General features: G+C 37.9%; 1 annotated feature.

The window, feature by feature from the left end:
- Nucleotides 661-730: a silencer, noted in NCBI's record as "silent region_19949". NCBI's record gives its function as "represses an Ori minimal core promoter by ATAC-STARR-seq in GM12878 lymphoblastoid cells {active_cell/tissue: GM12878}" and the evidence as "EXISTENCE:reporter gene assay evidence [ECO:0000049][PMID:35858748]".

A 21,812-nucleotide genomic window follows, 5' to 3' on the forward strand; every position in this document is an offset into this window, starting at 1 on the left:
TATGTACTGTGTGTGTGTATATATATATATATATATATATATATATATATATATATATATAGCTGGGTATGCTAGCTCAGGCCTCTCTTTCTCTTCTTATAAAGCCACCACTCTCACTCCCATGATAACCCATTAATTGGTTAGCCTATTAATCCATTAATTTATTAATCCTGAGTAGATTAATCCATTCTGGAGGGCTCTGCCCTCATGACCCAGTCACCTCTTAAAGGCCTCTACATCTTAATAGTACCACATTGGGGATTAAATTTCAACTTTAGTTTTGGAGGGAACAAATATTCAAACCATAGCAATACCTTTTTTTAGATGCTATAACTGGATACTATAACTATGTTTATGGTCATCTTCAATGGGCATGTAAATCTATTTGGTGGAACCCATTGGACATTCAAATGGTTTTGTGTGAATTTTTTTTTTCTTGTCTGGGAAAGATGGTTATAGAGATAAAAACTTTTTTCCCCTAAAAGATTCTGTTAAATTCTGCATGAAATCTCCCTGGAGAATGGAGTCATTTGGAGAATGTATTTTATTTTCTATTTACTTTTCAATCTATAAAGTCTGTTTTTATCTGTTATTTCTTTTCAACCTCACAGCAGTGGCGAGACACATGTATTATTCTTCTGTTTGTAAATGAGAAACTTCTGACTCAAAAGTTTAGTGACTCAACCAAAGCTTTGGAGACCACAAAGGCAGAGCCAGGCCTCAAACCCAGGTCTTTGGATACCAAAGCCAGTGTTCTTTCTTCTATACCACAGCTGCCATCTGGCAATTGGCAAAAACTTACTTTATTTCTTTTGTTTCTCTTTAGGCAGGAACAGCTCTGAAAATATACTTAAAAAATTAAGTCACTTAGGTTATTTTTTCTTTTCAATATGTCATAATTGGATACTGTGTATAGATGATGTGATGAAATAAGTCTCATATAAGGCTCTATGTGTATATTTCTCCTAAGATGCTCTTGCCCTGAATTGTGTTTTTGAGTCTCAGGGAATGTATTCATTGCTGTGCCACTTGATGTAGTCACAGGAAACCTATTCTGATAGAAAAAGCCATCTGTCTTTAAAACACCTTTTTTTTTTTTTGAGATGGAGTCTCACTCTGTCACCCAGGCTGGAGTGCAGTGGTGCAATCTCGGCTCACTGCAACCTCTGCCTCCCTGATTCAAGCAATTCTCTGCCTCAGACTCCCAAGTAGCTGGGTTTACAGGCTCCCACCACCACACCTGGCTAATTTTTGTATTTTTAGTAGAGACGGGGTTTCCCCACATTGGCCAGGCTGGTCTTGAACTCCTGACCTCGTGATCCACCCACTTTGGTCTCCCAAACTAGGGGTGACTCCTAGTTCAAGATGGCAGTGTGAGCACACTCATTTATTCCTCTCTCCCATGACTAATTTAAAATAATATCAGGACAATAAAAAAAGACATAGCCCACAGAAATGAAGAGAATTGCAGGTAGTAATGAGCAGATGAGAAGAGGGAAAACAGAGGCTTTAAGAGGTTTATAAGAAAGCAGAGAGGAGGCTGGGCGCGGTGGCTCACGCCTGTAATCCCAGCACTTCGGGAGGCTGAGGTGGGCGGATCATGAGGTCAGGAGATCAGACCATCCTGGCTAACACGGTGAAATCCCGTCTCTACTAAAAATACAAAAAATTAGCCAGGCGTGGTGGCGGGCGCCTGTAGTCCCAGCTACTCGGGAGGCTGAGGCAGGAGAATGGCGTGAACTCGGGAGGTGGAGCTTGCATTGAGTGGAGATCGTGCCACTGCACTCCAGCCTGGGCGACAGAGGGAGACTTCGCCTCAAAAAATACATAAATAAATAAAAATAAAAATAAAAATAAAAGAAAGCAGAGAGGAAGAAGAGGAGGCACCTGCACTCCAGAATATGAGAGAAGGCAACAACAGGGATAGAAGTCACGAAGTTGCCCTGAAGAACGCTGGAGAAACTTTGGACTCAGAGCTGGAGCCTCAGTCGAAGATGTCCAATAGCTAAATAGCAGGAGTTCTAAAAAGACAAAACACTCATGATAGAGACGAAGGAATTGTCAAAGAAAGAGTATTTCCATAGCTACAGGGAGATCTTCAAAATCAAAGGATCGTGGCCAGGTGCGTTGGCTCATGCCTGTAATCCCAGCACTTGGGAGGCCGACGCGGATGGATCACCTGAGGTCAGGGTTCAAGATCAGCCTGACCAACATGATGAAGCCCCATCTCTACTAAAAGCACAAAAATTAGCTGGGTGTGGTAATCCCAGCTACTCCAGAGGCTGAGGTAGGAGAATCGCTTGAAACGGGAGGCAGAGGTAGGAGAATCGCTTGAATCGGGAGGCAGAGGTTGCAGTGCGCCGAGATTGTGCCACTGCACTCCGACCTGGGCAATAGAGCCAGACTATGTCTCCAAAAAAATAAAAATGAAAAAAAAATCAGCTGGTCCTGGTGGTGTACACCTGTAATCTCAGCTACTGGAGTGGCTGAGGCAGGAGAATCGCTTGAACCCAGGAGGCAGAGGTTGCAGTGAGCTGAGATTGTGCCACTGTATTCTAGCCTGGTGTCAGAGTGAGACCCTGTCTTAAAAAAAAAAAAAGGAAGAAGGCCCACCTTTAGGGACCTCATGATGAAATCTCAGAACACCAAAGATTCTAAATGAAAATTTACATCCATGCACCCTTACTTGAGAATGTAAGCCTGTAAAATGAGGGTGAAAACCAAGAAAAGAAGAAGACGTATGATTGGGTGGTAATGAATTTAACCTTGTCCCAAAAGAAATGGCCTTTGTCTTGAGCTTTTGGGAGTCATCTCTAAGCCCTTGGATCCTCGTGTCTGACAGGAGTGTCTTTGTTTGCCTGGAGGGCTTTGGCTAGCCAGACAGTAACAGATGTGATTTAGGGTGGAGCTTTGATCCATGCCAAAAATGTGATTTAAGATGAGAGCTTTGGGTCACACCTTGAGTGACTGGAGACTGGAAACTAAAATTAGCTATGTGAATAGTCAATCATGTTTTTGTAATGGAGCCTCAATAAAAGCTCTGAACACAGAGGCTCTGCTGAGCTTCCCTGGTTAATGATAGCCTGTGCTTATTGTCATACATCAATGCTGGAAAAGTACTATGTCCTGATCCATGGGGAGAGGAAAATGGAAGCTCTGCATTTGGTTCTTTCCTAGACTCTGCACTATGCACTTTATCCTTTGACTGATTTTAATCTATATCCTTTCTCTGTGGTAAATCTTAACTGTGAGTGTAACTCAGAAAGTTCTGTGAGTCTTTCTAGCAAATTATCAAAACTGGAGATGGTTTGGACAACTCCTCAAACTTGCAATTTAATGAGGATGGTCTTTTTTCTTTTGAGACAAAACCTCACTCTGTCAGTCAGGTTGGGGTAGCTGGGACTACAGGCACATGCCACCAGGCCCAGCTAATTTTTTATCTTTTGTAGAGATGGAGTCTCAGTATGTTGCTCAAGCTGGTCTCGAACTCTTGGGCTCAAGTGATCCTCCCACCTTGACCTCTCAAGTGCTGGGATTACAGGTATGAGCCACTGCACCTGCCCTGAGGGTGGTCTTGTGTGGGCTGTGTTCCCTCTAACTTTGCAGTTGTCTTAAGTCTTCCCAGGGCTATACGAATGGTAGTACTAGCTTAGAGGAATATTAAAACAGCATCCAAGTATAGGGCTGTGTTCCCTCTAACTTTGCAGTTGTCTTAAGTCTTCCCAGGGCTATACGAATGGTAGTACTAGCTTAGAGGAATATTAAAACAGCATCCAAGTATAACAGTTGTGTGACCAAGAAGAAAATTAGTCTAATTTAGGAGAGTAATCAGCAGACTTACAGAAGTCTATTTTCAAGGAAATGAATGGAGTATATTTCAGATAATAGCTGCTGCTAATGAAAAGTTGCAAAATATTAGGATATGGTGGAAAAAAACCTATGAGTCTTAACAAAGCAAAAATGAATAGCCAGAAACTCTAGCTAAATCATAACATTTACCAGAATGTCATGTTCCAAATATGAAATAATTTAAAACATGATCTTTTTCAGCCATTGGTAAAATATTAGAGAGGATAATCTATTTAACCTTGGTGCTAGTGTATTTTCTTTTGAGTGACACAATGATTACAGGATCAGAAATGTAGTCAAGGGAATGTAATTATTAGCACTCTCTGGCTCTGTGATGAATAATGTGATGAATAGTCATAATAATGCAAAATTTGTTTATTGATTATCAGCTTTTAAAATAAACCGATGCACAAAGCATGGAGGAGTTAATCCTGATTAAGGACAGAATGTAAACACTCTCAGCTTTGATGATGTTAAAGTAAAGCTCTAGCTGACAGATTTTGGAAAATGAAAAGTAAATAGGGAAGAGGGAAGAAGTGGTAAGGATGCAAATGCTCTCATTTTATAAAATGAGGCATCAAGAGAATCTGTTGAAAATTGAAATAGTAATGACAAATTAAATAGCAATGACAAAAATGATCCTGAGAGCAGTGTGGAAGAGGATGTTCTATCTGGAAAAAATAGAAAATGCTGAATTCACTGCACACTGTAAACAAAAATATTAATTCCAGGTAAATTATAGACCCTTTCAAAGGCAAAACAGTAAGGCTTTAAAAGATAATACAGAAAAAATAGATTCATAATCTCTATATGGGAGAGTGATTTTAAAACATATTAAACATTAAGAAGCCCCAACCTTTAAGATAAGGATTGATGAATTTGATTACAGTGAAATAAGAACATTAAAAATAAAATAGTGGGTGGGGGGCGATGGGAGGGACCTTAGAGGATAGACCAATATGTGCAGCAAACCACCATGGCACACGTATACCTACGTAACAAACCTGCACATTCTGCACATGTGTCCCAGAATTAAAGTAAAATTTAAAAAATCGTAAAAAGGCAAGCCATGGACTTGAAAATATCTGGAATACATGTTTAATCAATATTTGTTATAGCCAACAAAGGACCCATATCCAGAATATCTGAAGAGCTTATACACCCCAATAAGAAAATACAACTTAATAGAAAAATGAGCAAATAGTTTTCAACAGCCACTTCAAAACAGGATATAACTAGTTGATCAATAAGCATATGATAAGATATTCAATCTCAGCCACCAGAAAAACACAAATTAAAACAGTAAAGAGGTACCACTACACACCTCTCAAAATAGCTAAAATTTAAAAAGACTGAAAAAGAGCAAGGATTGCTCCTGGAACTCTCCTCCACTGCTGGTGAAAAGAGAAACTAGCTTAACCAATTTGGAAAGCAATTTGGCTTTATTGATTAAAGTTAAAGATACCATACCTCATGACCTAGCAATTTCTCTCTTAGGTATATATCTAAAAGAAATATATGCCCATGTGTACCAGGAGACATGTATAAGAAAATTCATAACAGCTTTATTCACAATAGCCTAAACCTGGGAACAACCAAAATATTCATCCATGGGAGCATGGATAAATAGTTGTAAGGCTCTCTCTCATGGAATTCTATATAGCAGTGAATATTAATGGACTGCAGCTGAATGCTACAATATTAGTGAATCTCATGAACATAATACTGAGCTAAGAAAAGCCTGATGCAAAATAATATATAGTGTATGATTCTATTTACATAAAATTCAAAAACAGGTGAAATTATAGTGTTGAGTGATGCATCCTTGGATAGCAAAAATATAAAGAAAAGCAAGGAAGTTATTACTAAAGAAGTCAGAAGAGTTTTATGTTTTAGGAAAAGGGAGTGAGTTATGCCTTGGAGAGGCATGCAGGAACCTTCTGGGGACTGACACTCCTTTATTTGACCTGAGTAGCCATTTCAGGGAGGTTTGCTTTGGAATACATCTCTGCTTTATGTATTTTTTTGGCGTGTGACCTATTTCACAAGCTGAAAAGAGGATTTAAATAAAAAGAACTAGTGGTTTAAGAAAGTTATTTAAATAACAAAGGTAACCAATGGAGAAACTAAAATAGTGCTGTAACTGCTAAAAATTGAGAGATGTAGACCAGTGTAATAAGCTAACTTCTCCACTGTGGTCACAGGAAGTTAATAAGAAAATTTCCAAATTGATACACATATTATGAAATAAGAACCCAAACCAACTGTAAAAGCGTTGTTCTCTGTTATGTAATTTCCTTCTTAAAATAATGCATACTTATTAATTTTATAATCAAGAAAAACTATCATGTTATATTAACATTTTTATATTTTTTAAACATCTGTGTGACTGAACAACCAGATTAGAAACAAACAAATTTGTTGACTGAGTTAACTTAGTTTGAGGAATTTTAACTTTTTAGTGAGTTGTTTTGTAGTGCCCTAAATATTTATTGAAACAATTTTATATATTCAATGTAAAAAATTCTCTTTTCTCTGTGTAACTTTCAGATCACTTGTGAGAACTTTGAGAAGCATCCAAAGAGATTGAAGAATTTTTTTGTTTTAGTAGCAAAATCTTACTTATTGTACAATTATTTAGAACTGTGATAGAAGAGTTTTTATTGTTGCCTTTCCTGACTTCAATTCATTTTAAAGGCATTTTTATTAATAAATAACATAATGTGCAACGGCTTTCATAAACCACTCCCACTCCCACCCCTGTGTCATCCCCGTAAAACTAAACAAACCAACTGAAATCTCTGCACTTCTACAAAAACTCAGTATGATGTCCCTCATAAGAATTAATGTAAGGAACCAGGGTCGGTGGCTCACGCCTGTAATCCCAGCACTTTGGGAGGCCGAGGCGGGTGGATCACCTGAGGTCAGGAGTTCAAGACCAGCCTGACCAACATGGAGAAACCCCGTCTCAACTAAAAATACAAAATTAGCCGGTATGGTGGCGGGCGCCTGTAGTCCCAGCTACTCGGGAGGCTAAGGCAGGAGAATCGCTTGAACCCGGGAGGCGGAGGTTGCCATGAGCCGAGATCGCGCCACTGCACTCCAGCCTGGGCAACAAGAGCGAAACTCCGTCTCAAAAAAAAAAAAAAATTAATGTAAGGAAACAATGTCCTCATCACCCACCATTTCACAGCTGCTGCATTATACTTAGGTGGAAGTGTAGCTTTTATTTTATTTATTTATTTATTTATTTTATGAGACGGAGTCTTGCTCTGTCGACCAGGCTGGAGCGCAGTGGCGCGATCTCGGCTCCGCCTCCCAAGTTCAAGCCATTCTCCTGCCTCAGGCTCCCAAGTAGCTAGGACTGCAGGCGCCCGCCACCACGCCCCTCTATTTTTTTGTATTTTTAGTAGAGACGGGGTCTCACCATGTTTGCCAGGATGGTCTCGATCTCCTGACCTCGTGATCCAACTGCCTCGGCCTCCCAAAGTGCTGGGATTACAGGCGTGAGCCACCGCGCCAGGCCGGAAGTGTAACTTTTAATATCAAGCACTCACATTTTAACGTGGCTTTTTAACTAGGGCAAGACCCTACAGATCATTTTAATTATCAATATAAGTCCATTTGAGCTCACTGATAAACCACACGAGAGAAAAAGTTGCTTTTCAAATAAGGAAAGCCTTTTAATTGCTTGTCTGCATTTACTTTTTTAAGATTAGTTTTTGTTTTTAAAAAGAAGCAGATTTAGCCTGAAAAACATATGCAAATTTTCCTTCCAAAAGTGCTTTATTTAAAAAAAAAAAGCTTAAAAAAAGTAGTATGAAATAGGCAAATATTCTTCCAATATAAAAGAAAAGGAATTTGAAAGTTGAGATTCCACTTTGTTAAATTAACTACTAAAAATATGATGGATTAAACTTTGAGACTCTTGGAAAGTGTTACCATAATATTTATGATGAAATCATTAATTTTGTAAAGGGAAAACATTCTTGTTCCAACTCAGTAGTTCTTTTTCACTTTCTGGCTAACATAGAAAAATAAATATGACATTGTTCTGAGGAATCTGTTGTCCCAAAGCAATTAAGAAGCAAATCAATGAAATATTCTTGTAAATCAAAGCAGTTATCTTCTTATTTTTTATTGTGTACTTTGAACTCGCTTTTTAGGGAAGCATGTTGAGACATCTGAATTCCTTTGCCTTTAGATTTTGGAACTATTTTGGTCTTATTTCAATTGTTAACTATCTCTCTGCTTGTAATGTCTCAATACTTTTGAGTGTTCACAGTAAAAAGAATAAAGGCACCCACTGCACTCATTTATGACATGGACTGGACAGGAGCCACTCAAATGTCCACGCTGAGTTCTGGCAAGTCACATTGCCTCTGGTCTTGTGTTTTGGTTTGGTGGGCACACTTCTGTCCTTGTTCACACTTTCAATCCACATTTCCAAAGAACGGCCATTTTAATCCACCTGTGCTAAAAACATTGGTTAGGTCTTCTTTCTCTAAGAAGGTTGCATTTCAGGTATGAGATTTAGAAAATAACTATAGGCATAAAGGTCAGCCAATCTGTTTTCAAAACAGGGCTGACAAGTAAGCAGGTGCAGGCACTAAGTTCAACTTACAAGTGTAAACTCTACTTCAAAATCAGTTCTGAGTCATCTGCTCTGTCTGTTAGGCACTCTTGTTTACAGTACATCTTTAGCCTTCTCATGTAGCAATACTATTGGTAAGTGGTATGCATAAGAAAAAAAACAACTTGATCTTGACAAAATGTGTACCCTATGTGTGGTGAAGAGACGTTTTGGAAGGTCTTGAGCAATTTTTTAAAATGCCTGTGTGTGTGTACGTACCCTTTATGTAATATTTAATGACTCGTGTTCTAAGAGGGTGTGTTTTTCTTTCTTAAAGAGCTGGCAGCTGGCCTATCCTCTTAGAAATGGGAAATTTCTTAAGCTAATTTGCACAAGCAGGCTATGTGTTTTGACGACGAAGCTGTAACTCTTTGTCCAGACAGTATTGCCAATTATCTGTGAATATCCTTATTAAGTAAAGACTTCAGAAAAAAAAAAAAAAGCCAGATCTTTTTATTAGCTTGTTTTGCATATAAGCTTTCAGGATAGTTGTATATTAATGTCACTTCTAAAGAAGAAAGGAGTTATTTAAAGGGATGACCTGATTATCTTGATAAAGAAAATATTAGAGCTGCAACCCATTTTCTGAAAAATTGGCCTTGGATTTGAGTGCAGTCCGGAAGGTGAAAATTTTGAATTGAATTTTAAACTCTAGGACAATAAAGTTTGAGCCAAATCATTTACTCTTTCTGTTTCTTAGTTTTCCAATCTGTTAAATGAGAATCAAAGCATTTATGTATATTTCTTCTTATAGGGAAATAAAGCATTGGTAATTGATTAGAAGGTACAAATCAGTGCACATGCATTTGTTCTGTCTGAAATACTAAGCCAAGCATCATCTTCATCTGCTCCTTCCTTATGAGACCAATGTGCACCCTTGGGGTCATCACATATCTTATGGCAAGGAAAAGCCCTCTATCTGTAGTGAGACTTCAGAGGTAGAAATAAATTTTTGTGCCACATAGAGCTCAGATAACCAGGAAACAGCCAAAATAAAGATAGATTTTGTGAAAATTATGTTTCATGTTTTTGAAAATTTAAGAGCATTTTCTCAGAGAGAAAAAACATGCATGGATGGGGGCTAGAATCAGAAATAAAGAAGGTGAAGAGGTTGTAGCAATCACTCTTCTGACGGTCTTTAAAACAGAAAAATAAAAATAAAAATAAATAAAAATAAGCAAAAAATGTAATTCCCCAACAGATGAAGGAGGAATTGGTTTTGTTACTTTTTAGAGGTCCTTTTAGTTTATAACATGCTGATGTGGGTTATTACATCAGCCACCAATTAGCATATGAAGTGCCAACATATATGCCAAGCTATGCACTATGTGTTGGGAACTGAAAAGTGAGTAAGAGGCTGGGAGCGGTGGCTCACGCCTGTAATCCCAGCACTTTGGGAGGCCGAGGTGGGCAGATCACTTGAGGTCAGGGGTTCAAGACCAGCCTAGCCAGCATGGCAAAACTCTATCTCTACTAAAAATACAAAAATTAGCCAGGTGTGATGGCACACACCTATAATCCCAGCTATTCGGGAGGCTGAAGCAGGAGAATCGCTAGAACCCGTGAGGTGGAGGTTGCAGTGAGCTGAGATTGCACCACTGCACTCGAGCCTGGGTAGCAGAGTAAGACTCTGTCTCAAAAAAAAAAGAGTAAATAAGAAACAATTTTTGCTCTCAAGGTCTTCTTAACCTTTCATGGCAGAGAAATACATACAAATAATTACAATACTATGTGATAAGTGTTAGACTAGTGGCAAAAACCTGTGCTGAGATTACGAATTTTGCCTGGGCTGGTTGGGACTGAAGAAGTAATATTTGTGCTCGGCCGTGAAGACTGAGGGGAGGTTAGGCATGGCAGGTCATCCTAGGAAGAGAATACAGCTTGAACAAAGACATGGAGAAATGGATGCCATTGGTTTATGGGAAATATTTTAGAGACGAGGTAAGTGTTTGAGCGTCAGGCAGTTCCAGGTTTTTAACCCAGCTATGTGGCCATTCACTGGCTCTATGATTTGGGGTACATTACTTGGCCTCTCTGAACCTCAGTTTCTGCATCTTTAATATAGGGACATTATTGCCTATCCTGGCAAGTTGCTGTGAGCATTACATGAAAAAATAAGTATAAAGGGCCTGACACAGTGCAAGGACATAGTAGATGTTCACTAAATGATCACTGTTACCCTGTCTCCTTGAGTGGGTTGCAGCTATTAATATGGAACCACATATAGTTGTGACAAGTCTTCTGTGAAATGGAAGTAACACCTACTTTCAGGGTTGTTTTGAGGATGAGAGGTAGTATCAGACAGAGGTCCAATAATGTGCTCAAGAAACAGTAGTTATGATTACAATTATTATAACACTTCTCTTTGAAAGACCAAAAGACATGCATATTTTACTTATATTGAATAAATTATGAATTTGTGTGTGTGTACAGAATTGTACTTTCTGCTAGACCAAAGCAGAAACTTGCATTACCTTGAAGGTAATGTGTCATATTAATGAATATGTTTTAAAATAGAGAACTCAGAAATAAGACTACACACCTACAACCATCTGATGTTCAACAAACCTGACAAAAACAAGCAATGGGGAAGGGATTCCCTATTTTATAAATGGTGCTGGGAGAACTGGCTAGTTATATGCAGAAAATTGAAACTGGACCCTTTCCTTACACCTTATACGAAAATTAACTCAAGATAGATTAAAGACTTAAATGTAAAACTCAAAACTATAAAAACCATAGAAGCAAATCTAGGCAAAACCATTCAGGACATAGGCATGGGCAAAGAATTAATGATGAAAATGCCCAAAGCAATTGCAACAAAAGTAAAAATTAACAAGTGGGATCTAGTTAAACTAAAGAGCTTTTGCACAACAAAAGAAACTATCATCTGAGTGAACAGACAACCTACAGAATGGGAGAAAATTTTTGCAACCTATCCATGTGACAAAGGGCTAATATCCACAGTCTACAAGAAACTTAAATTTACAATAAAAAAGCTAACAAACCCATTAAACAGGGCCCAAAAGACATGAACAGACATTTCTCAAAAGAGGACATTCACGCGGGCACCAAACATATAGAAAAAAGCACAGCGTCACTGAAATGCAAATCAAAACCACAGTGAGATATCATCTCATGCCAGTCAGAATGGTGATTATTAAAAAGTCAAGAAACAACAGATGCTAGCAAGGCTGTGGAGTTTTTACATGGTTGGTGGGAGTGTAAATTAGTTCAACCATTGTGAAAGACAGTGCGGCAATTTCTCAAAGACAGAGAGGCAGAAATACCATTTGACCCAGCAATCCCATTACTGGGTATATACCCAAAGGAATAGAAATCATTCTATTATAAAGACACATGCATGCATATGTTCATTACAGCACTAATCACAATAACAAAGACATGGAATCAACCCAAATGCCTATCAATGATAGATTGGATAAAGAAAATGGGGTATATATACACCATGAATACTATGCAGCCATAAAAAAGAATGAGATCATGTCCTTTGCAGGGACATGGATGGAGCTGGAAGCCATTATCCTCAGCAAACTAGTGCAGGAACAGAAAACCAAACACCGCATGTTCTCTTATAGGGGGGGAGCTCAACCATGAGAACACATGGACGTATGCAGGGGAACAACACACACTGCGGCCTGTTGAGGTGGGTGGGAGGAGGGAGAGCATCAGGAAGAATAGCTAATGGATGCTGGGCTTGATACCTGGGTGATGGGTTTATCTGTGCAGTAAACCACCATGGCACACGGCACTATGTAATAAAGCTGTACATCCTGCACCTGTAACCCAGAACTTAAAAGTTGAAGATTTGGGAGGCCGAGGCTGGCAGATCTCAAGGTCAGGAGTTCAAGACCAGCCTGGCCAATATGGTGAAACTCCGTCTCTACTAAAAATACAAAAATTAGCCAGGTGTGGTGGTGGGTGCCTGTAGTCCCAGCTACTGGGGAGGCTGAGGCAGGAGAATAGCTTGAACCTGGGAGGCAGAGGTTGCAGTGAGCTGAGATTGCACCAGTGCACTCCAGCCTGGGTGACAGAGTGAGACTCTGTCTCAAAAAAAAAAAAAAAAAGTTAAAAAAAAGGAATATGTTTTACATGTAATCTAGTATAAATTAACCATGTTTGCTTTTTTCATTTCTGTGTTTCTGCACTGGACACCATACCAGGCACCCAGTAGATGTTTAAAGAAATAGCTGCTACATGAATTAGTCGGTAGCTCTCTAGATGGCTTTCTCAAACACATTTTGTTTTTAATGGAGGAAAAGAGTTTTAGATCCTGAAACTGCCTTTTGAAAACCAAGTTTCCAAGCCATTTGAACAGTTGTGGTGAGGATCATGCTGCTCCACAATCTGTGCCTGGAGGATGCACTGGTCCAACCCGTAATTGTCATTGTAAACAGTTATTATATCCATGATGATTATTATGACATTTCTAATAACTATGATTGTAGAGTTCAACCTAGTGTTATATCAATAAACCTAGACCAGAATGTCTTATGAGTTTACTTCATACTTCTTCTTTTTGGAACCTTATTGAGATGACAGAAATGGTAAAAAAAAAATCGAGCACTTTTTAGTTTCCCAAAGAACCCTTCTTACCTTTATCCTCTGTCCAATTGCATATGCTTCTGAGAGGTTTTGTCCCCATAACCGCTTTAGAAAACTTCTCTTTCTAGCTTTAATTATAAGCATTGATAATAATAGAGATGGTTACATGTAGGGTGGCTCAAGCTTGTTAAAATGACACTGACTCTCTGACTTAAAAATACTGGATTACATAAGGAAAAATCAGCATGGATGCACTTGAACTTCCTTGTCACAAAATGCAGCTACAACCTCAAAGTACAAATTATCCCTTCTGCCGGCTTCTAAGCAGAGCTGTGCCTAAGCCATGACACACAAAAGCACTTTTGTCTTACTTTCAAAGCACTGTTTAAAAAAAAAAAAAAAAAAAGATTCACAACTTTCCTTGAAAATCTATCTGTTCTTCAAAAACTTATTTGGTTCACAATCTAAAAACAAAATTTTTGTAATGTTGTAAATTTAGCATAGGTCCTCTTGTTTTTTTCTTTGTAGAAAAGAAAATATACGTATATAACCAACATTCTTTTTATTGTAATCAGTTATTTGGCCTAGATTTAGATTCCTTCAGCTGGTGGAGTTTGAAAATCTTTTCTTTCATAGATTTGAAAACTAGTGAATTTAGTTGGGAATTTATACTCTGTAATTTTAAGAAGCTCTCTGGCTTTTTCTCAAACTTGAATCTACTTTTAGTTGAGACATTTGATATTTTAGGTGCTGCCTTTAGGGTTCACAGCCATTACTATCCTGATCCTTCATGTTCAATTGCTCTTTTCCTCATTGTCATTTTTTCACTGAGTAGCTACTATTAGGCTAGACATCTAAATTGGATATTTATTTATTTATTTGGGACAGAGTCTCGCTATGTCACCCAGGCTGGAGTGCAATGGCGTGATCTCAGCTCACTGCAACCGCTGCCTCCTGGGTTCAAGCGATTCTTCTGCCTCAGCCTCCTGAGAAGCTGGGATTATAGGCGTGCACCATCATGCCTGGCTAATTTTGTTTGTATTTTTAGTAGAGACGGGGTTTCACCATGTTGACAAGGCTGGTCTTGAACTCCTGACTTTGTGATCCACCCACCTCAGCCTCCCAAAGTGCTGGGATTGCAGGCATGAGCCACCATGCACGGCCTAAGATGGCTATTTTTGTAGGCCAAAAAAAAAAAAGACAATCATAAATAATTATTGAACACATACCATGTACAAAGCAAAGGTTCAATTATATGGAGAAAGAAATTCAAAGGCAGAATATCAAACAACAGCATTTCAAAGGTTCACTCTGTACTGTCTGAGTCTAATTTTCTATTTGTTAACAATGTTTTATCTGGCACCTAACTTTTAAAAATTACTTGTTTGTAAACCATGTAGTGAATTAACCTGACCAAAAAAATTCAGCAAAAAATTTTCTTAAAGTTTGTAGGTTTAAGAAATGAAAAAGTTGTGCAAATGTGTCGAAAAATAGTTAAATGATATGAAAATCCTTAAAATAAAAACTTAAAGTTCTTTTCTTACCACCTGGAGTAAATTGTCTTAACAACTTTTATTTTACTCCAGACCTCTTTTTTTCTTTATTTTGCATATGAAATAAAATCTGCAAGTTTTTTTTTCCCACTCAGAATTACGTCATGGACAATTCTTTTATATACAAACACTTCTGAAATCAAGAAGAGCCAACATGTCTACTCTTAAAGGGCCTTTAAAAAAATCACTTCCCATATTCAATTGCTTTTTAATTGAGTACTTTTCAAAATTAGCCTTCATTATTGTAATTGCCCAAAAACATTAAAAGAAGGCATATATCCTCAAAACACTTTCATTTAAAACCATCTTTTAAAGAACATAAGGTACATGAAGTAACCACGTGATTTTGGCACAGTGGGTTGAAAACAAAACCAAAATAGTTACTCAAATGTTTTATCTATGCTATACCAAATAAGAGCGGACTTAGCATTCTTGAAAAGAACAAACTATGCTCCCAGGGAGCACAGAGGTGCCACGGCTGATAAGAAATAATGTTGGTGTCATCTTAATTCTAGAAAAAAATTAAAAGAACTTGGAATTTCTACATTAGGTTCACCTTCCCTTTAATTTTTTCTTTTTTCTTTTTTTTTTGAGACAGAGGGAGACTCTCGCTCTGTCCCCCAGGCTGAGTGCAATGGTGCAATCTCGGCTCACTGCAACCTCTCCCTCCCGGGTTCAAGCAATTCTCCTGCCTCAGCCTCCCAAGTAGCTGGGATTATAGGCACCCGCCACCACGCCAGGCAATTTTTTGTATTTTTAGTAGAGACAGGGTTTCGCCATGTTGGCCAGGCTGGTCTTGAACTCCTGACCTGAGGTGATCTGCCCCCCTCAGCCTCCCAAAGTGCTGGGTTTACAGGCATGAACCACCATGCCTGGCCTAACTTTTTCTTAAATCTTTGTCATCTTTTACTGCTTATTTGCTGATGAGCACAGGAAATCAAACGAGTAGGTGGCATACAAATTTTAATAGAAAATCTCTGACATAACTCACTGCATTTAGTTTAACAACCTTTTAGTTAAGGTAGAGTATAACATATATATGTGTGTGTATATATATGTGTGTATATATATGTGTATATATGTGTGTATATATGTATATACATGTGTAGATATGTGTGTGTATATATATGTGAATATATATATATATAAAATAGAGTAATATTTTCTGCTAGTAAAAGTTCTGCCAGGGGAAACATAAATATATCGGCATTTTATAGGTTTCCACAAAAAAAATTAAGTTTCCACCATCTAACAAACTTCAGAATACTGTCATGTGGCAGACATTCTGCACTGAAATCAAAATGCTTGCTGTTTCTTCTGAAGTGAAGAAGGAGGTTGCACTGCATGATCCCCCCAAAATCTCTTCTCAGGAACACTTGTTCTTAAATTTGTTTCCTCCATGAGATACAGAAAGAGCATACTATACACCTGTAAATACCAGTTTATTGAGGAACTCAAGTATCAATTCCATTGCTAGCAACGGTGTTTTTTAGGTATCTTTTCTGTATCTTCCAACCTACAGGTATACCCCTAATGAAGTAAAAATAACATGCACATCTGAACACATAAAAATGTAAACCTGATCTTTCCAACTTTAATTATAAAAGTGTTTATTATTTTATTCCTTTATATTGCAAGCTCTATTAGTGAACTTAAAATGTGTGAAATTTGATTTAACTGAAACATCAACATAGCTATTTTAAAGCTCTGTGTACGTGTACCAAAAAATTACAAATTGTAAATAGGATCAGTCTAGGGAAATTCAGGCTTCATTTTCTTATGGTGTGGAAGGTGAACTTGAAAGTCTTAAGAAAACATATGGTTCCTGTTTTCCCACTTCTACATGAACATATTACCAATTGTATAGTGAAAGCTGAAGTATGAATTATTCAAGACAGATTGATGAGATGTGTGGGAACCTTACTTTTTTTTCTGTTGAAATGATTAATAAAAAGGGTTTTAAAATTACCTAAGACAAAATAATGTATATTAAATATATATTATACAATATATTTAATATATGTATTTACATATATTAAAATGCATGATATTCAATATATGTATTTACATATATTAAAATGCATGAAATGTGTTTACATATATTAAAATGCTTGAAATGTATTTACATATATTAAAATGCATGGAATGTGTTCCTTCCCAATTTCTTTGGTCATTTGATATTAGGATCTGCCTGTAGGCTATCTCGTTCACTTTTTTTTTTAAGCTGAAAGAAGGAAAGGTCAAAAATACTCTTAGCATTGCCGAACTGATCAAGTATTGTCACGTTCTGCATTGATAGAAATCTAAGTGGAGTACTGGGTGCTCAACCTGAATCACTGTGAGGCCATTTTATACTGATGAGTGATTTTTATATAGTAGGGGCTCAGAGTGCAAAACTGCATTGTCTCTCCATTTCTACCTTTGGAAAATATTTTAATGATTAACAAAAGTGGTTAAAAAAAACAAAAAAAGGCTTCTACTAATAGATCTGGGAGAATTAAACCAGAGTAGATCATCAGACTATCTCTTTATAAAATATATTAGCCACATTCATTTATTATTAACATGTATTATTTATTTGCACAAAAATACATGTATTCATTGTAAAAAAAATCCAAAACCACAAGTAAACAACACTATCAAATTACCAATGGCACCTGGGGAGATTACCACAATAAATACAATAAATGAATGTATGTAGCAGAATAAGTTGGCCAGCGAATGATCTTTCCTCTCTTCTTAGGTGAAGGAATTATTAGCCTTACATTAAAGGAAATAAAAAGTTGCCAGGTATGAGCTACCAGTGAGCAATTCCTAAATCCACCTGTTGTCCTTGAAAGATCAGTTAGTTCTGGCCACTAAACTTAATGTCTGAGTAGGAGGGTAAGATCAACTCTTTCTTGTGGGAGAGTCTTAAAGGAAGGCTGAGCCCTGAGGGAGGAATAGGGGGAAGAGAAGAGTTTCAGTTCTTAAAGTAGTCAGAAGAGCTCTGACCTGGTCATCAGTAAGACTGAATTTAGATCGTTGCTCCTAACCATTGTGTGACCCGGAGTCGATTATCAATCTCTCTGAGCATCAGTTTTCCTATTAATCAAATGAACGGGTTGAGATAAGGAAAAGTCTAAGGTGGGAAAGAGATTGTGGAAATGTCTAAGACATAGCTTCTACAAATTTAGTTGTAAAAATGGGCCCAAGAAAGAACACTATTTCTAGATTGGGGTGATGGTGGGGGAACGAGGGAGATGAGGATGGAGAGAACCTTAGCAGAGGGCTCAGCTAAAAGTCTGATCTTGTTCAACACCTTCATTCAGGATCTAGAACTAAGCTGCCCAATATGGCAGCCTTTAGCTACATGTGGCTACTTTTGGAATTGAGATGTGCTATAAATGTGAAATACACAATGAATTTTTAAAATAGTACAAAAAATCTAAAATATACCTGTAACAATTTTAAGACGTTGATTAAATGCCAAAACAATAGTTCATTGGATAATTCATTTTACCTGCCTTTTTTTTTTTTTTTTTAGTCAGGGTCTTGCTCTATCACCCAGGCTGGAGTGCAGTGGCACAATCCCAGCTCACTGCAACCTTTGCCTCCCAGGTTCAAGGAATTCTCATGCTTCAGCCTCCTGAGTAGCTAGGAATACAGGTGTGTGCCACCATGCCCGGCTAATTTTTGCATTTTTAGTGGAGTCAGAGTTTCACCAGGTTGGCCAGGCTGGTCTCGAACTCCTGACTTCAAGTGATCCACCCACTTGGGCCCCCCAAAGTGCTGGGATTACAGGTGTGAGCTATGGTGCCTGGCCTACCTGCTTCTTTAAAACTTTTTATTGTGGCAACTAGAAAAATTTAAATTACGTGTATTTCCATTGGATGCTACTGATCTAGGCTCTAATTTTAAGAAAATACACTTTGGGAAAATGTGCAATGAATAATCTCTACATGGATGTGGAAAATGTTGCGATTGTAAGAATGGTGTAGTAGAATGAGTGTCATCAGGAATTTAAATATTAAGTAGATAAGAGAAAAGCAGGAAAATAGGAATGACAACAATACTTGAAGGGGAATAATGATAACAGGTTTGCAAACTACATATGAACCTGAACCTCCGATTGACAAAAAGCAGTTTAGAGCTAGTCTGGTGCAGAGAAACAGGCCAGAGAGTCATGCCTTGTTTGTGGTAGTTGATTCTTTTTAACTGAGCCTGTCTGCACTTGATTTAAGTAAGAAGGTAGGGATGGGAGAGGGGAAATTAACAGGGTATGATTTACAAAGCATGTTTATAGATCTTACAAATTGGCTTCACTAAAGGAAGGAGTTAATACATGTCAATAAATGAGTACAACTACTATAATATGCATAATGGCGTTTGCTAAATAGCAACTCTTCTTCCTGGAAAATTTCCTTTACCTCATACAGATGAATCATTTACTTCCAGAAAATAGTACACTTACTGTAGGCTTAGTTCAATCCTAGTGATTAAATTCGGCTAGCCAAGTCAGGTCAGATTTCATGGTAACATGACAAAAGGGAGAATAAAACTCTAAAAGGACATTGAAAATGTCCTAAACACCATATCCAATGGCTTTTCACAGTCTTCATCCTTCTAAGCTTCAGAGCACCACTTGACAGCAATAACCTTCTCTTTAACATTTTCTTCTCCATTGCCTTCCAGTGATGTGATGTCTGAGGTCTTTTCTTTTCACTCTGACTTGTCCTGACAGGGAAGCAGTATTGATTGAAGAACAAAGGTTTGTGGGTTGTAGTGAGAACTTGGGGTAATAGTTTCTGTAAAGTGTGTAGTAGGTTCTCAATCAATTATAGCTATTAGCTTTTGTTATTACCTTTGACTGAATATTTTCCTTCACCCAAGCCTTACATTTACGTTCTCTGTTCTTCATATACTACAGAATTGTATTTACTTCTTTTGTTTCAAATGTTACCCCTTTATTAATAAACAGCTGCACAATGTCACATCTGAACCTGTCTGTGAATGCATGGTGTAAGTATTTTTATTGTTTTTTTTTTAAGGCCTGGGCAGTGTATGACAGGCAGAAGCTTCTTTCTTCCAAATCTGTGTGCGTCTAAGAGACTCGATGTCACTCCACCTCCCCATTTTTGCCAAGTGCAGCATCACAGATGTGTGTCTGGGTCTTCCTCCAGTCCTTCAGCATTACACTCCCCAGAGCTCTATGAATACAATGGAGGCTGGGATGCCAATACATTCCAGCATGATCTTAGTTTGGTTTCATGTGGGACTTCTAGTGTACTACGACATTCTGATGATGGGTTCAAGGTAACTTTCTATGACTGGCACAAAAATGAGAGAAATTGTGTTATAGCTTTAGCTGTGGGGCTTTGGGCAGGTCATGTCACCTCTCTGGCTTAGTTCCTTTATTTGTAGGATGAGTGATTTAGACTTGATCTCAACACTTTCTCGTGCTAGGATGCTGAGTTTCTTGAAGACAATGGGCACGTAGAGGATAGCAAAGCACATGATATTCTTGAAGCTTTCAAATGAAACAGTGTTGTTCAAGGCAGGATAATGGGAATAGATTGCATTCCCAAAAATGTTCACATTAGGGATTTTTTTTTTTTTTTTTTTTTTTGAGACAGAGTCTTGCTTTGTCCCCCAGGCTGGAGTGCAGTGGTGCAAGCTCCATCTCCCAGGTTCACGCCATTCTCCTGCCTCAGCCTCCCAAATAGCTGGGACTACAGGCGCCCGCCACCATGCCTGGCTAAATTTTTTTGTATTTTTAGGAGAGACGGGGTTTCACCGTGCTAGCCAGGATGGTCTCAATCTCCTGACCTTGTGATCCACCCGCCTCGGCCTCCCAAAGTGCTGGGATTACAGGCGTAAGCCACCACACCCAGCCGGGGTAATTTCAATAGCTATTACGACCACAGGATTGCCATCCCGACAAGCCTCATATACTTGTTACTATTTTTATCACTGAAATGATAATTTATTGGTCATTTTAATCATAAAAGTCCTGCTGATTTTTAGTTTTGTAGATTACATAATGAAAAAAATCTTCTTTATTTATTTAGGCGCCCAGTACATGTTCATTGTAAAAATTTCAAAGAATAGAGAAAATTTTTTTAAAGGCAGTAAAAATCATCCCCAAATTCTGGCCACCTGGGAGTAATAATTTATAAAAATTTGGTTAGTGTTCTAATGTATGTGACCTTACATAAATTAGAACAAACTATTAATGCTGTCTTGTAACCTGCTTTCTTTCTTTGTTTTTTGTTTTTGTTTTTGTTTTTGTTTTTTTGAGATGGAGTCTCACTCTGTCGCCCAGGCTAGAGTGCAGTGACGTGATCTCGGCTCACTGCAACCTCTGCCTCCCAGGTTCAAGAGGTTCTTCTGCCTCAGCCTCCTGAGTAGCTGGGATTACAGGCGTGTGCCACCATGCCTGGCTAATTTTTTGTATTTTTAGTAGAGACGGGGTTTTGCCATGTTGGCCAGGCGGGTCTCAAACTCCTGACCTCAGGTGATCTGCTTGCCTTGGCCTCCCAAAGTGCTGTGCATTTGGCCTATAACCTGCTTTCTGAAAAAGTTTTTGGTATATTGTAGATATCTTTCTTCAGTAGTGGCCATTGATTTAGAATCATCTTTTGTAATAGCCATATTCCATTGTCTGGTGGATCCATAATATATACCATTATATATTTATTTATTCCTTTCATGATGGATATTTAAGTTATTTCTAATTTTCCACTATTATAGATAGAACTGTGATGAACATCAAGTCATATCAAAGCTTACAAACATATTGAAACACGCTTATTTTGAAATAAGAGCAGAGTTATTTTGTTAGGCAATTAAGAGGCAGTCAGTAAATATACTTTGATAATGATTGTCCCTGCGATGCCCTAATTCCTGATTTGCAATAGATTAATGCACTGTCACCATTATTTTCCAAAAGGTTAGAAACTTACACTTAATCACTGTAACTAAAAATTAATTTTATGCTATTAGAAATGATAAGGTAATACAAAGTATCCTTTCCCCAGCTGAAACTATTATAGTTATTTCTAATTCAGCCAGCCCTTATGAAAATAATAAAACATGTATTGGCTTCTTATCTCATTTGAATATGAAGGTTTATTGTCATTCATGTTAAATGTTGTTTTTTTTTTTGTTTTGCTTGAGTTAATAATACCTCAGAGTTGGACTAACACCATCTCCTTTTGTTAATCATCGAC

This window comes from Homo sapiens, chromosome 9 (assembly GCF_000001405.40).
Source record: "Homo sapiens chromosome 9, GRCh38.p14 Primary Assembly".
Classification (NCBI taxonomy): Eukaryota; Metazoa; Chordata; class Mammalia; order Primates; family Hominidae; genus Homo; species Homo sapiens.